This window comes from Homo sapiens, chromosome 11 (assembly GCF_000001405.40).
Source record: "Homo sapiens chromosome 11, GRCh38.p14 Primary Assembly".
NCBI classification, from domain to species: domain Eukaryota; kingdom Metazoa; phylum Chordata; class Mammalia; order Primates; family Hominidae; genus Homo; species Homo sapiens.
Genome location: NC_000011.10, coordinates 2,200,359 through 2,215,265, shown reverse-complemented (window position 1 = coordinate 2,215,265; position 14,907 = coordinate 2,200,359). Strand labels below are relative to the sequence as shown.

Genomic DNA, 14,907 nt, shown 5'->3' with positions numbered 1-14,907 from the left:
AGCCTTCCTCACAGGAGAGGGTCCAGTAGAGTTAATTTGGGCAAAATGCAGGTGTGCAAAGGCCCTGCGGCTAGTCAGGCATGGACCTGCAGAGGCTGGGGTGGGTGGGCACCACCCAAAGCCTGGGGAGGCAGGTGGGCCGGCCTAGTCCTAGCACAAAGGCTCTGTGTGGGTTCTGCCTGTGACTTTACCAAAGGCCGACGGATAGCCCTGGGGGCCTCTAAGCACGGAGACGTGCCCACTGATGCCCATGTTTGCAGAGGTCAGGCTGACTCCCCAGAGGAGGATGAGCAGAGGCAGAGTGGCAGAGCAGGAGGGTAAAGGGAGACCACGGAGATGTCACTGCCCTCCCGATGGCGTGTCTGAAGGACAGAATGTGGGGGCAGGAAGGAGCAGCTGCCAGCGGGGCAGGTGGCAGGGCAGGTGGCAGGGCAGTAGTACCCAGCATCAAGGTCCGGCCTGGCGAGGAGGCCCAGGCGGTGAGGAGCCCCGGGGCTCGGGCCTGGGGCAGCTGGACCCGTGCTGCCGTCTGTCGTCTGAGAGTGACAGAGGGCAGCTGGCTTCTGGGTTGGAGCACAGGGGAGAGGGAGGCGGCCTAGCGGGAGACGGACTGTGGCCTGCGTGTAGCCGGCAACTGTGGCAGGAAGATGAGAGGAGGCCGTCTGGAGCAGCTCCGGACCCAGTGGAAGAGGCCGTCCCGCAAGGACCTGGGGAGGAGCAGCAGAGCGGGGAAGAAACAGATGAGGGGCTGGGAAGGCAGGAGGAGGTCTCCAGGGCTGGAGGCCAAAGCACTGGGCCCCTTGGCAGTGCGGGAGCTGACTGACCTGGACTGTGGTTAGAAGAGAGGTGGCATGAGGTGACAGGGAAAGGGAGTGGACAGGCCTTCTCTCTTTCCAGACATTTAATGTGAAGTAAAGAGGTTGGCACGAGCTGTGTGGCAGTCTGTGGACTCAAGGGATGAGTATTTAAGATGGGAGAGAACTGAGCCTGTCTAGAAGCCCGTGGAAGAAATGAGTTACAGGCCACAAAAAGACAGGGAGAAACCGCTAACTCGACATGTGGAAGAGGCCAGGCTGCAAAGGATTGTAGGATCCTGTAGGGTTCTACCCTTAGGACATTCTGGAAACAGCAAAACCATGAAGACAAACGTCAGCGGCTGCCAGGGGTTAGGGAGGCAGGAGGAACAAACAGGTGGAGCATGGAGGATTTCGGGGCCGTGGAACCCCTCTATGGGGTGCTGTAACAGTGGATACAGGGTAGTATTAGTCCAAACCCATAGAACTTATAACACCGAGCTCCAAGCCTCATGTAAACTATGGCCTTTGCATAATAATTAAGTATTGATGTATTTCAAAACAACGTGTAGTGCAGGATAAATATATGCATTGTTATTTGTCAATTACATAAACAGAAATGTTTTTTAAAAAGCATCAGCGTGGATAAGCAAAGTGCGATCTTCTCATACGGTGGGGGATCCGGACCCACGCTGTCACGGGGTGGACCTGAGGCAGGGGCTCAGCGGGAAAAGCCAAACACGGAAGGACGGACGCTGTGTGCTGCCACTCACATGAGGCTCCTACAGTCATCAAATCCGCAGAGACGGGAAGTAGAACAGTGGGTGTCAGGGGCTGGGGGAGGGGTGGGGAGTTTGCTTTGAATGGGGACAGAGTCTCATCTCGGGAAGATGAAAGGGTTCCGGAGATGGATGGCAGTGAGGGCTGCACACCAGTGTGAGTGTCCCTAATGCCCCTGAACTGTGCATTGAAAAACAGTGTACATTTAGGACAGTACATTGATGTGATGTGTTTTTTGCCCCAATAAAAAGTATGCGACTTTAAAAAATGTCCAATGGGTTCCTGGCCACAGCGATGCAAGAGGCCAGTAACGGGGAGACTGCAGGCATGGGGGAGGGCTGGGCAGGGGGTAGAGCATCAGGGAACTTTCTGTACTTTCTGCTCCATTTTCTATAAACCTTAAAGTGTGTTCTTTAAAAAAAAAAAAAAAAAAAAAAAAAAGGCTACCAGTTACAAAACAGAAAAAGCCCAGAGGCCAATGAGGGCACCCGGCATAGCCTGCAGGCCAGTTGGCCGGAGGGGCTGGAGGAGGTTGGGATGGGGCTGGCCCCTGCTGCATGCCCTGCCTGCACCCCTCTCCAGGCTGCAGGTGGGGGTCTCCTGGGGTTTGCCTGTTGCCCCTGGGGCTGTGTGCTCCATGCTAGCAGGAGCCAGGGCAGCCTGCCCACTCCTGCGTTCCCCCAGCAGGGCCAGCTTCTGCTGCCTAGCAGGTCTTCAGGACATTGTGAGAAAGAGTGGATGGACTGGACAAACGTGCTCGGAGGAGTGTGTGTGTGGCCACAGTGGCTCCCAGGGAGGGCCATGCTCAACAGGAGCTGGGATGGTGCCACGGGAGGCTCAGGGCCACAAACCTGGAGATCAAGGCACAGATCAAGGCCGTGGCCAGCCCCAGGCAGAGCTGGGAGTGAGCCAGGCCGCCCGACTGGGGTCTGTGGCCTGGCCTCGGCCCCAGCCCGTCTTGGTTTCCCACACTCAGGGACCCACTGTTTGTGTGTCTGTCTCAGTGGGCTGTCATTTTTAAAAGGAGGTGAAGTTCACATACCCAGAATTAGCTATTTTCAGTGCACAATCCAGCGTATCCAGCACGATCTCAGTGCTGTGCGACCCTCACCTCGGTCTAGCTCTGGAGCACGTGCATCCCCCAGGCGGAAACCCTGTCACTGAGCGGTCACTCCCCGTCTCCACCACCCCCCTCCCTGGGCGGCCACCCATCTATTTTTGTCCCTATGGATTTGCCTATTCTGGACATTTCATATAAAGGGAGTCCATCACCACGCGGCGTTGTGTGCCCGGCCTCTTCCACCGAATGTGGCGTTGGTGAGGCCTGTCCATGCTGCAGCCTGCATCTGTCCATCATTCCTCGCATGGCCCAATAATGTTCCATTGTACAGGCAGACCACAGTGGGCTCGTCTTTTTTTTTTTTTTGAGACGGAGTGTCACTCTGTCGCCCAGGCTAGAGTGCAGTGGTGCGATCTCTGCTCACTGCAAGCTCCGCCTCCCGGGTTCACGCCATTCTCCTGCCTCAGCCTCCCCAGTAGCTGGGACTACAGGCGCCTGCCATCGCGCCTGGCTAATTTTTTGTATTTTTAGTAGAGACGGGGTTTCACCGTGTTAGCCAGGATGGTCTCGATCTCCTGACCTCGTGATCCACCCGCCTCGGCCTCCCAAAGTGCTGGGATTATAGGCGTGAGACACCATGCCCGGCCTGGGCTCGTCGTTTTCGTGGTTGGTGCATGCCGGGGTCGTTTCCACCTGTTGCCTCTGGTGAGTGATGCTGCCGGGAACATGGGTGTGCACGTGTCTGCCTGAGTCCCTGCTTTCACTTCTGGGGATAGACCTGGGGTGGGATTGCTGGTCACACGGTAGTGCTGGGGGTAACCGGCCTGCGTGGACCGGCCAGGGCATTTCCCATGGCAGCTGTGCTGCTGACGTCCCACAGCTGTGTGAGGCTTGCTCACGGGGCTCTAACTGCATGCCCACTCCTGGCCCGTGGGTCTGGAGTACACAGAGAGTGGCCGGCTCTCAAGCGTCTGAGCAGCTCCCACAGCCTGGGCGCCTGCCTGGTGTGGAGGGGTCGGGGCAGGTGTCTTGCTGGGGACTCCAGCAGCTTCCTCTGGACTTGTCTCCCGGCTCCAGGGTTGCTGGGAGGCTAGTTCTAAAACAGGGGAGAAGCCGTGTGCTCTCTCTGCCCACTGGGAGCCCCAGTGTAGGACGACTGTGCCCTTGTGGGGTGGGGGGAGCTGGTGCCCACACCACGCCAGGCAGCTCCCCCACCCTGGCCTCAGGCAGAGCTGCCATCCTTCTCCCCTTGGTTTAACCATTAACTGGTCGCCTGCGGTGCACCCGGAGACAATGGCGTGTTTGTTCAGCGCAGTCCGCAGGGGCCTGTGCAGGGTCTGGCACAGTCATCAAAGCTTTGCGATTAAGACTATTAGGGACGGGATTTGTGCAAACAAAGGGACAGGTGCAGGGGCCAGGCCAGCTGCTGGGGCCGGGTGCTCTGCTGGGAGGCCATAAACCTCCCTGGGCCATGGGGCCTCCCTTGCCTGCAGCCCGCTCACTGAGGCTTTGCTGTTTGCCCAGGCACAGAGGCCGGGCTGCACAGGGCAGTGTGTCCCCAGGGCATCCTGCTCCCCCCACCCCTTGGCTCCTGGGCTGCCTGGAACCTGGTTGGCTCAGGAGCTTTTTATCTACAGCTCCTCTGTCTATGTCCCCTTGGCAGGTCCTTTTTAACATGAGTCCTCCTCCAGTGAAGGAAAGGGTCATGCCAGGGCCTGCACCTAGGGCCTCCGTTCTCCAGTGGGTGTCTTTGCATGAAACGGCCTGGGCCCTGGCACTTGCCCCACCAGCGCTGCCTGCAACCTTGTCCCTGTACCTCGGGCCTCCACCACATCCCTGGACCTGCACGAAGGAGCCCTGAGCATGGAAGTCAGGGGAAGGGAGGTCTCGACATGAGCCCAGCCATGGCCAGAGTACTGAGCCCAGGGCCAGCAGCCTCGGCTGGCAGTGCAGGGTGATGGGTCTGTGGGCCGGGCTGCCCAGGGACCTCGGCCCTGGGGTCTGAGGGGCACCAATGCCTTTTGCAGGCCACCATTTCCCTTTCCACTTTCCAAATGTGATTGGACACAGGTGGATGCACCTGCCTGCCCAGCAGACAGCCCGGTTCTGACCCGTGTGGAGCTGCGTGGACTGGGCTCACCTGTGCCTTCTTGCATCAACCAGGTGTGGACCCTGACAAGGTGCCAGCCACTGTCCTCCAGGAGCTACCTCAGGGACACGCAGGGAGGGACTGGACAGACAGATGGAGCGCAGTCCTTGCTGCCCGGCCAAGCCCTTGTGGGCAGGGCAGACTCCTTCAAGATCATCAAATGAAAGCAGGCAAAAACCACGTCCTTTTGTGACCTAAGCTTGGAAGCAATGTTGTCACTTCTGCCTCATCCTATTGGTTAGAAGTGAGCCAGGAGGTCCTGTCCACATCCAAGGTGGGAGTCCCCGCAGGACGGGGCCTGGGAGGTGGGCCCATGGGCTCCAGAGGGGCTGGACCACAGCAAGAAGAACGAGGCCAACCTCCATGGGTAGCGCAGACCGGCTCAGGCCCTGCCCTTCCCGCCGGGGTCCCCTGTGACAGGACGCAAGGGCACAGCTGCGGAGCAGGGTGGGCTGTTAGAGCTGGGCAGAGGCCACAGTGGCCAGAGGGCTGGTGAGAGTGGCTCTCCTGCTGCCCTAGCCACTGGCTGAAGATCTGCCTGGGGAGGAGTGGGTTTGGGCGGCCGGGCCTAGGACCCCTTCATAGCTACCACTAATACTCATTCTCTGCTCCTGAGAAACCTCCTCCAGGGGCCTCTGGGGTCTTGGAGATGAGACAGAGGGACCTCAGGCAGGACAGACAAGAGACCCTGGTCTCGGGTGTCCACAGAGCGGGAGCCAGGCAGGCTGGGCGGAAGTCCTAGGCTTGGACCCTGTTACGGGACTTTCCCTGTCAGAATGGGCTCAGGAGGGAGTGAGTGCGTGGTCCTCAGGTGTGCAAGTGCCAAGGCTGGAGCCCACCCCCTGGGAAGCAGGGCCAGGGTGGCTGGGGCGGACTTGATCCCTGGAGAGGAGCGTGGGCAGCCAGGGCAGGGAGGAGGGCAGGCAGGAGGGAGGTCCAGGCCTGTGGGCCGACAGGGGGTGAGGAGGCAGTCTGGGGACCTGAGAGAAGGCCGAGTGGCTGTGGGGTGGGTGACCTGGGGCCCTGACTCTGCCTTACCCTTGGCCATGGGGCCACATTCATGCTCGGCCCCCGCCCAGCCTGGGCTGGGAAGGCATCAGCCTGGCCATGAGGCAAGGGGCCGGCCATGCCTGGGGCCAGAGGGGGTCCCCCAGCCCTTCGCCTTCTCTCCATCTCCTGAGTAGGGCCCCTGCCCTGCTCTGACAGGGTGGTCACCTTGCCCCGCTCCGTGCCCAGTCCTGAGCTGGCAGTGTCTCCAGCCTTTGCAGCGTGGCCCTGTCTGCCTCTGTGTGTGTCTGGGCTCCTCTCATTTGGCCGCCCTGCCCGTCTACACTGGTGCCCCCCCACCTGCACTGTCCACCGGGCCAGGCTCTGTCTCTGCCACCTGTTGGGTGCTTGCCAGACTCCGCCATCCTCTCCGCTCCCAGCTTGCGGCTTCTGCCTCCACTGGCCTGGGCCTGCCCTGCCGCCGCCTCCTTGTGCCCTGGCTGTCTGCTGCCCCCTCTGCTGCCCATTGGCCAGCCGCTGAGCTCCCTACCAGGAAGAAAAAGGGCCAGGCCATGCCGGACCAGGACTGGGCACAGCCTCCAGCACTCCAGGTGGACAGGCTGAGAAGCGCGGCGAGCGAGGCAGCCTGGGACGGGTGATTTCTGGAACATGGGGCCAGCCAGCCTTGGCGTGAGGTGTGGACAGCTGCCAGCTTCTTCTCAGGGCTGCTCACAGGCAGCGGGGGAGTGACCCCGTTTTCTGCTTGGCACCTGGCTTGCCATCCCGCTCTACCCCAGGGCACTCAGACCTCAAACTCCTCAGCTGCCTGGAACACCAGGGAAGCCCAGGCTATGTGAGCCTGTGCCCAGCAGGCCAGGGGGCACCAGGACATCCCCCTCTTCTCTGATATTCCAAACCTTCCTGCCTTTGAGGAATGCCTCCCGGTCCTTCTGGTTTTCTAGGCCATGGGCTCACCCTGGTCTGCCAGCTCTGGAGCTCTGAGAATATTCCTGCAAAATGCACATCCCAGGCCTGGCCGCAGACTGTGAGTCACAGGTAGGGCCTGGGATCAGCATTTTCATGGATTCTGCAGGCACTGCTGAGAGCAGCTGCCCGGGGTCAAGCCAGGGCGTGGGCTGTCCTCATCAGGCTCCCCTTCTCAGAGGCCGCCCTTCTGGCCTGGCCTGCACCTTTCCCCACTCACTGCCCACCAGCTGCAGACACACTCACTCCTGCCTCAGGGCCTCTGCACGGTGCAGACATTCCTCCCACAGCTTCCCAGGGAGGCTGAAGAGCAAGGAACCTGCCTCTCCTCACGGAGCCCTCTGCTCCCGCCACACGGCTGGATTTTTCTTGGATGCCAGCGTTTGACATCTCTATGTGAGATCTGCTTCTTCCCTGATCGTGACATTCCCTCCACCAGCAGGCAGCCGCATGAGGACCAGCGCCTGCTCACCGCTGTGTCCCTCCTACGTGCGGGGCAGGCACCCAGCAGCAGGTGTTCGGTGCCCACTGGGAGCGTGCCTGGGCCCCTGCTCCTGCTCCTCAGAGGGAACAAACAACTGACCTGCTGATGGAGGCTGTGAACCCACACGGGTTGTCTGCAGACGTAACGGGGCATCTCCTATGACGCTTCTGGAGAGGGCAAGGCTCCACGGCTGAGGGCTTTCTTTGGGTGACAACCATGTGAAATGCCATGACCTTGTGCCACCCCGTGGCAGATGACTCTCTCAGAAGGTGGTGCGTACCCTTTCCCCATTATGGTGTGGACACGCAGATGTGGGGCCTCTCCCACCTCTTACAACTGGGGCAGGCTGACAACCACAGTAGAAGGGACACCCTGGAACTCCCAGACCACATCATAAGAGGCCACGCAGCTTCCTCCTGGAGCTCTCGGGCAGCTGCCCTTGGAGCCTGACTGCCATGCTGTGAGGAAGCCCAGGTGCCACCGAGGCGGCACATGCAGATGTGCAGCCAATGGCCCTGGCAGAACCTGACAAAGTCAGCACCAGCCACCAGACCTGCCAGCAAGGATGCTCTGAGCCGACGTCCACTCCAGCTGTCGTCTGACTGCCCACGAGACACCCTGAGTGAGCACTGCCCAGCTAAGACCCGTCAACTCCAGAACTGTGAGAGGCGATGGTTCCACGACTTCCTGGCTGTAGTCACTGCTGTTGGGCAGCTGTGGGTGACCCTGAAGGGACACTCTGATAAGGGACATCTGCCTGCATGTGTGACCTGAGTCCCAGCCTCAGCTTTCTCATGTGAAAAATCAGGACCACGGTAGACCCTACCTTATAAGGCAGCTGCAAGAGTGAAATACAATGGAAAATGTACACAAGATAGGGTGGCTGTTCGACGCCCTCTTGGTTCTTCAAATCTAAGGCCCATGTCAAGTTTTACCATCATTTTGCCATCATGATGAGAAAAGAAATGAGACCAGCCTGACCAACATGGAGAAACCCCATCTCTACTAAAAATACAAAATTAGCTGGGCATGGTGGCACTCGCCTGTAATCCCAGCTACTGGGGAGGCTGAGGCAGGAGAATCACTCGAACTCAGGAGGTGGAGGTTGCAGTGAGCCGAGATCGCACCATTGCACTCTGGCCTGGGCAACAAGAATGAAACTCTGTCTCACAAAAAAAAAAAAAAAAAAAAAAAAAGAAATGGAACTTAAACAAGGAAATAGTGTTTTCCTTGTTTTGTTTCTTGCTTATTGAAAGCACCTTGCCTGATGGGTTGAGGGAGGGATTTTCATAAATCACTGTTGTATACACACGTAGAGAGAAAATACCAGCAAGTAAGGGTTACTGTCCCCACATTTGAGTCCACTTCCTCCGGGTCAATTTTGTCTAGAGTCATTGCACCGAGGCTGTCCCTCATACACTCTTCCTTTGGGCCATGTACAGGGCTGGGGGACACCCGTTCCCCAAGAGGGGCCTCCACGATTGACCCGGGAACTTTTGCTTGCTCTGCCGGTATCTAGATCTTACCAGCAGGTGCCAGCAAATGATCTCTGGACGGCGCCCCAGACTCACTGTCCTTCCCTAGATGGGCCCTTGAGGCTTGGGATGGAAGTGTAGAGGGGTCACTGCCAGGTGATACAGTCAGGTTCATCCGTGTTGAGCTGGGGCCACCATGTCATGAACCTGGCTGTTGGCAGCATTCACATGAAACCTGCTTTCAGAGACAATAAGTGTAAACAAATGTCTTAGGATCAGTGCATTGTGTCCCGGATAAGCCCCTTCTCCCAATGTCCCTCCACAACACTCACACGAGGAAAGGAGGCTGGGAGGTGGGGAGGCTGGGAGGTGGGGAGGCTGACAGGCTGGGAGGTGGGGAGGCTGAGAGGTAGGGAGGTGGGGAGGCTGGAAGGTAGGGGCGTGGGGAGGCTGGGAGGTAGGGAGGTGAGGAGGCTGGGAGGTAGGGAGGCTGGGAAGTAGGGAGATGGGGAGGCTGGGAGGTAGGGAGGTAAGGAGGCTGGGAGGCAGGGAGGCTGGGAAGTAGGGAGATGGGGAGGCTGGGAGGTAGGGAGGTGGGGAGGCTGAAAGGTGGCAGGCTGGGAAGTGAGGATGCTGGGAGGTGGGGAGGCTGAGAGGTAGGGAGGTGAGGAGGCTGGGAGGTAGGGAGACTGAGAGGTAGGGAGGTGGGGAGGCTGGGAGGTAAGGAGGCAGGGAGGCTGGGAAGTAGGGAGGTGGGGAGGCTGGGAGGTGGGGAGGCTGAGAGGTAGGGAGGTGGGGAGGCTGGGAGGTGGGGAGGCTGAGAGGTAGGGAGGTGGGGAGGCTTGGAGGTAGAAAGGTGGGCAGGCTGGGAGGTGGGGAGGCTGGGAGTTGGGGAGGTTGGAAGGCAGAGGGGCTAGGAAGTGGGGAGGCTGGAAGACTGGGCTGTTGGGAGGTAGGGAGGCTGGAGGCTGGGCAGTAGGGAGGTGGAGAGGCTGGGAGGTGGGGAGGCTGAGAGGTGGGGAGGTGGGGAGGCTTGGAGGTAGAAGGTGGGCAGGCTGGGAGGTGGGGAGCCTGGGAGGTGGGGAGGCTGGAAGGCTGGGAAGTAGGGAGGTTGGAAGGCAGAGGGGCTGGGAAGTGGGGAGGCTGGAAGGCTGGGCTGCTGGGAGGTAGGGAGGCTGGAGGCTGGGAGGGAGGGAGGTGGGGAGGCTGGAGGCTGGGAGGGAGGGAGGTGGGGAGGATGGCTGGCTGGGATGTGAGGAGGTGTGGAGGCTGAGCCTTGGCAGAATGTGGGCTTTTTTCAGCGAATCACTAGCCCCTGAAGACAGCCCAGGTCAGGTGCAGCACCGCCCCAGAGGCCAATTAGTGATTTGTCACCCTCTGCCTTGGGGAACAAGGCTGCCAGGAGTCCTGCCCCCAGCCACAGCATCCAGCTATGCTCCCTGCCCTCTGGCAGGAGGTAGGGAAACCTCTGCTTTCACATCTGTGGGGAGGCCCCCATACTTGGCCCCTGCCCTTCAGGCCCAACCCACCCTGTCATGGAATCCTCTAGAGTCCTTGAAGGGGCAGAGTCCCACCCCCACCAGGAATTCCATCGGTGATCCTAGGAACGGAGTCCCGGAAGGCCTGCTCCTACGGCCCTGGGGGCAGGAATTGAAGCAGGCGCTCCCTTTAGGCAGCGGGACAGGATGGTGCCGTACAGACACTCCAAGTCCCTCTCCGTGTGACTGGATGTCACCACCTTCTGACCCTCAGGCTCCGGAGGGTCCTAGGAGAGGATCCCCGCCCAGGGTTGTGGAGAGGAGCGAACCGGATCCTGGGGTCAGGCTGCGTCCTGGCACCTGGCACACAGTAGGGCTGCCATCAGGCATGTCCACCCATGCTGTGGACCTTTGCTACTGCCAGGGCAGTGGAAGGGGGCACCTAGGCTGTAGCAGGGGAGCTCTCAAGGGCCCCCCCTCTGTGCAGTTCAGCCGAGGCCAGGCCTGTCCCATCAGGGTGAGGCTTCCCTTGGGGTGAGGGGTCCTCCTCACCTCCTGATCGTAAAGGCCCAGGGCTGGGCTAGGGACCCCGGTGTTAAAAGGGCCAGAAAATGCCGTCCAGGCAGATAGTCCCAGGGAGAGGGCCCAGAGCACCTGCCGCCAGGCTAGGGACGCACGAGGGGGCCATGGTGTCACCCAGCACCCAGCACCCCCCAGAAGCTCCTGGATCCCCGTTAAAACTGGGTGATCATTAAGTGGAGTGCGGTTGTGTCACAGCCCCCAGAAGCCCCACCCACCACTCCCCAGCCACCCCTGGGAGCAAGGCCCTCACCCAGAGAGGTGGGGTGTCACCGGCCTGGCCAGAACCTCAGGGTGAGGCAGGGGCCTCGGGTCACTGCAGGGGGCCTCCAGTGGACCCAGGGGTGGGGCTGACCCCAGCCGCTCCCTCTGGAGATAGAGTTCTGGATGTTTCTACCCTTGCTCCGACTGCCAGCCGCCCCTTGGGTGGGGCCCTTTGATGTCCCCGAACTCACAGGTGGGCGGGGCCCCGAGGCCTCCCCTGGCCCTTTGAAGCTGGGAACTCTTGTGGCCCAGTCCCAGCAGACACAGGCTAACACCGCGTTCACCCTGGAGTCCACCGGCTCCCCCAGCCCAGCCCCAGGATCCCAGGCCTGCTCTCCTCAGGGGTCCCTGGAGGGCCAGTTCCCAGCCTGTGGTCCAACATCCTCACCTCCCTGAACCTCCATAGCAATAGCTGCTGGTTTGGCCCCTGGCTGAGCTGTCTCCTGGTCTCCCTTGTCTCCATTAGCACCCTGTTCTTTAGGTAAGGAAACTGAGGCACAGGGGCTTGGGAAGGCAGAAGCCCCACCCACGGGAGTCATCAGGCAGAGGGAGGGAGGTGGGATGGGAGAAATAGGAGGCCACGGGCTTGCAGGGGTCTGTATCCCAGAGTCCCCCTAACCTGAGGGTACCTGCCCCCCAGGCCTCCCGGTGACCTGGCGGAGGGGCCGGCGGCCAGGTCCCAGGCTTGCTGTGCCGGCACCCCACAGAGGCACAGGGGCAGGGACCAGGCCTTATCAGAGCGGCCGCCCGCCACCCGCCTGCAGCTGACAGAGGGATGGGGAGACCAGCCGTAAACCCGTCTGTTCCCCTAAAGGAGAGAGGGAACAAAGGCATAGGCTAATAAAACTCAGATCAAAGCTGACTTATCTCTTCATTTTGCTATTAAAATTTAGAATCAAAAGGGAAGGCGGCCCCTTTATGGTTCAGGATTACAGAGATTTCTGTGCCTGTGGGGCCCTGCAGGGCCCCCGCTGCCCATCCCAGCTTCAGAGCCCTAGCCTCGGGCTGCAAGGGTTCCTGGAGTTGACCTTCCCAAGGGCACTCCTGGGACATGGGCTCCAGGTCCCTCCTGGGCCTCGGGGGGCCACAAGGAGGGAGTGAACAGCTCTACCTAAGGCCCCCTTGAGACACCAAGACACCCCGTGGCTGACCTCCCCACACCGATGGCTCTGCAGGTGAAGGGGTTTCCTGGCCTGCGCCCTGCGCCCTCTTGTCTCTGCAGAAGACCTCCCTCGGTCCCCAGTTCCTGAAACTCCTAGACCCCTCTAGGAGGGAGACAGCCAGAGGGGCAGGGCCTCTGCCAGCTGCACCCAAGTCAAGCCTGGAGGCCACAGGGCTGGGTGGGTGGGTTCCTCTCCTCCATTTCTCGGCTGTCCCAGGTCTCTGGGGTGGGGGGCACCACTCAGCACCGGATGGAGTGGAACCCCTGGAATCTTGGGCAGCCAGGCAGTCACTCCGGCAGGCCCTGCGTCCGCAGCAGAGGCCCCTGTGCACTGCGCAGGTGACACGCGCGGACCTGTCTGCACCTACCCAGGCTTGCTGTGACACACGGTCCAGTCCCGTGTGTGAGCACGTGCCCAAGCTCCCGTCGGCCGGCGCCCCTCCCCCATGCCCAGGGGGGCCCCGCACGCTTCCTGTGCACGCTTCACCTCTTCTCTAACCAACGCCTGAGCTCCCTGCTCCCTGGTAGGAAGCTGGCGGCCCTTCCCTTCCAAACAGGCCTGACAGGTTATGACACTGAAGATTACAAACCTCCCCCAGGGTGGGTGGGGGAGGGGCGAGGAGGGAAGGTAGACTTCGGGGCAGGGGCTTTGAATGGCCTTCAGCCCCTACCCCAGATGTCCCGGTGCCCAGAGGCTGGACCCCGTAACCTTCATCTCCACACTCCAGGGGTGCAGGACATTCCTGGGTGGAGTGTAGGCCCAGGGCCAGGTGAAGGAGCCTTCCCTAGGTGGCTCTTGCAGGCACGGGCCAGGGCGGGGCAGGCGGGGCAGGCAGGGCAGTCCTGCCATGCCCCAGGTGCCCAGGGCTACCCTCTCCACCATGCTCTGAGCCCTGGCATGAGCTGGGTTTGGAGGGAGGGGTTGCCACGTGGATGCAGGTTCCAGGCATGGATGAGGGTGGGGTCTGGCCTCAGCCTCCTTGCTGCCCAGACATTGCATTTTTGGGCAGGGCCTGGCAGACACCTGGGATGAACCAAGCACTAGAGGACCATGTGGTCTAGAACTCATGGGGGTCTTAATGGCCCCCATGGGGGAGGGAGAGGAGGAAGGGTTGAGGGATCCCCTCTGTTTCAGAGGAGTAGAGGACCTTTCTGCTGGGCCTAGAAGACAAGAGTGACTGGACAGCACACAGCTCCTAGCATCCCCTCAGCGGGGTCCTGAGATTCCCCTACAGGGAGACATTGTACAGATGTGTGCACCCATTTATCTACTAAATCTTAATGTGGTATACTGATGCTTGGCAGAGGACTTAGAAGGTACCCAGTTAGCAGTGGGCAGCCCCCCTACCATGGCTAAGCCCCAGGTGGGCCAGGGTTTCAGGGTTACGTTAACTAGCTACCAAGTCTGACATTGGTAAGGATTGGGGTTTCAGAGAACTGGAGGTCTGTTAGGTCTGTTTACAAGAGGGTCAACCCAGGCAAATGTCCAAGCTGGCAGGGACCAGAGTTGAGTCTTTAGACTAAGGATATGGTGTTTGGAATACAGCAAAGGTCTTTCTTCTCAGTTTCCATCCACCCATTTATCCATCATCCCACTTATCCATCTATCCATCTATTCATCCATCCATCCATCCATCCATCCATCCATCCATCCATCCATCCACCTCATCCATCCATCCATCCATCCATCCATCCATCCATCCATCCATCTATCCATCCATCCATCCACCTCATCCATCCATCCATCCATCCATCCATCCACCCATCCACTTATCCATCCATCCATTTTGCCATCCATTCATTCATCCCTTTACCCATCTCTCCCTCTCTTCCTCCCGTCATCCTTTGATCTGTCTGTGCATCTATCTTTAGGCACCTATCTACACATTTATGTATCTATTCATCCATCTATCCATTAACTCTCACCACTTTTATGAGCAGATGGGCATGGGTTAAATCACAACTTATCTCTTATTAGCTTAAGAGCTTTTGGGGTCCAGAGAGTACATGTCTCAGTGTGCCCATAATCATATGGGAGGGGTCCCAGAAGTTCTTTCATGAATAAATCTTCCTAAAGCAGTTGGACTGTTTTATTAATTCAGTTGCTTTGAAAATATCTCTTTTTCACCTTCATAGAGAATTGACCTTTGGTTGTTGGTCGACTCTGAGTCCAGGTTTGTTCTGCAGTTGGGTGGTCCCCGTCCTCTCTTGTGGGGGCTGCTCGAGGGTGAAAAAAGGAACTGGCAGATGACAGGACACCCCCGGGAAGGTGGACAGATGTGGGTGGGCGGCTGGGAGGAAGGGCTGTTGGAATAGGCTGTCTGGGGCCAGGAGGCAGGCAACAAGCCCAGACGCCAGGGCAGTCCTTCCCCAGCTGATGGCCTTGCCCATGCGTCCACCTCTGCAGCCTCCGTGTCTCCTTGGTGAAGTCTGGGAGTGTCTGCTTTGTGGGAAGAGGGTGAGGATCCAACAGGACCGTGGCCCATCGTGGGGGTTCTGTAAAGGGCGTAGGTGTGGCCTTGGTGGAGGTAGTCAAGGCTAAATGAGGGCACAAGTGTGGGCTCTGACCCCATACAGTGAGTATCCTTATAAGAAGAGACCCCACAGCACTTGCTTGCTGTCCATGTGAGCCTGGGGAGGCCCCGACGGGGAGCCAAGAAGCGGGTTCTCACCAGCAACCGCATCTGCTGGCCCCTTGATCTGGGCCGCCC

The 14,907-nt window shown here is 59.6% G+C and overlaps 3 annotated features.

The window, feature by feature from the left end:
• Positions 1-561: an enhancer, noted in NCBI's record as "H3K27ac-H3K4me1 hESC enhancer chr11:2235935-2236495 (GRCh37/hg19 assembly coordinates)". NCBI's record gives its function as "activates a minimal SCP1, AML or CMV promoter by ChIP-STARR-seq in naive H9 embryonic stem cells {active_cell/tissue: H9 hESC(naive)}" and the evidence as "EXISTENCE:reporter gene assay evidence [ECO:0000049][PMID:30033119]".
• Positions 2,283-2,853: an enhancer, noted in NCBI's record as "H3K4me1 hESC enhancer chr11:2233643-2234213 (GRCh37/hg19 assembly coordinates)". NCBI's record gives its function as "activates a minimal SCP1, AML or CMV promoter by ChIP-STARR-seq in naive and primed H9 embryonic stem cells {active_cell/tissue: H9 hESC(naive and primed)}" and the evidence as "EXISTENCE:reporter gene assay evidence [ECO:0000049][PMID:30033119]".
• Positions 9,993-10,591: an enhancer, noted in NCBI's record as "H3K4me1 hESC enhancer chr11:2225905-2226503 (GRCh37/hg19 assembly coordinates)". NCBI's record gives its function as "activates a minimal SCP1, AML or CMV promoter by ChIP-STARR-seq in naive H9 embryonic stem cells {active_cell/tissue: H9 hESC(naive)}" and the evidence as "EXISTENCE:reporter gene assay evidence [ECO:0000049][PMID:30033119]".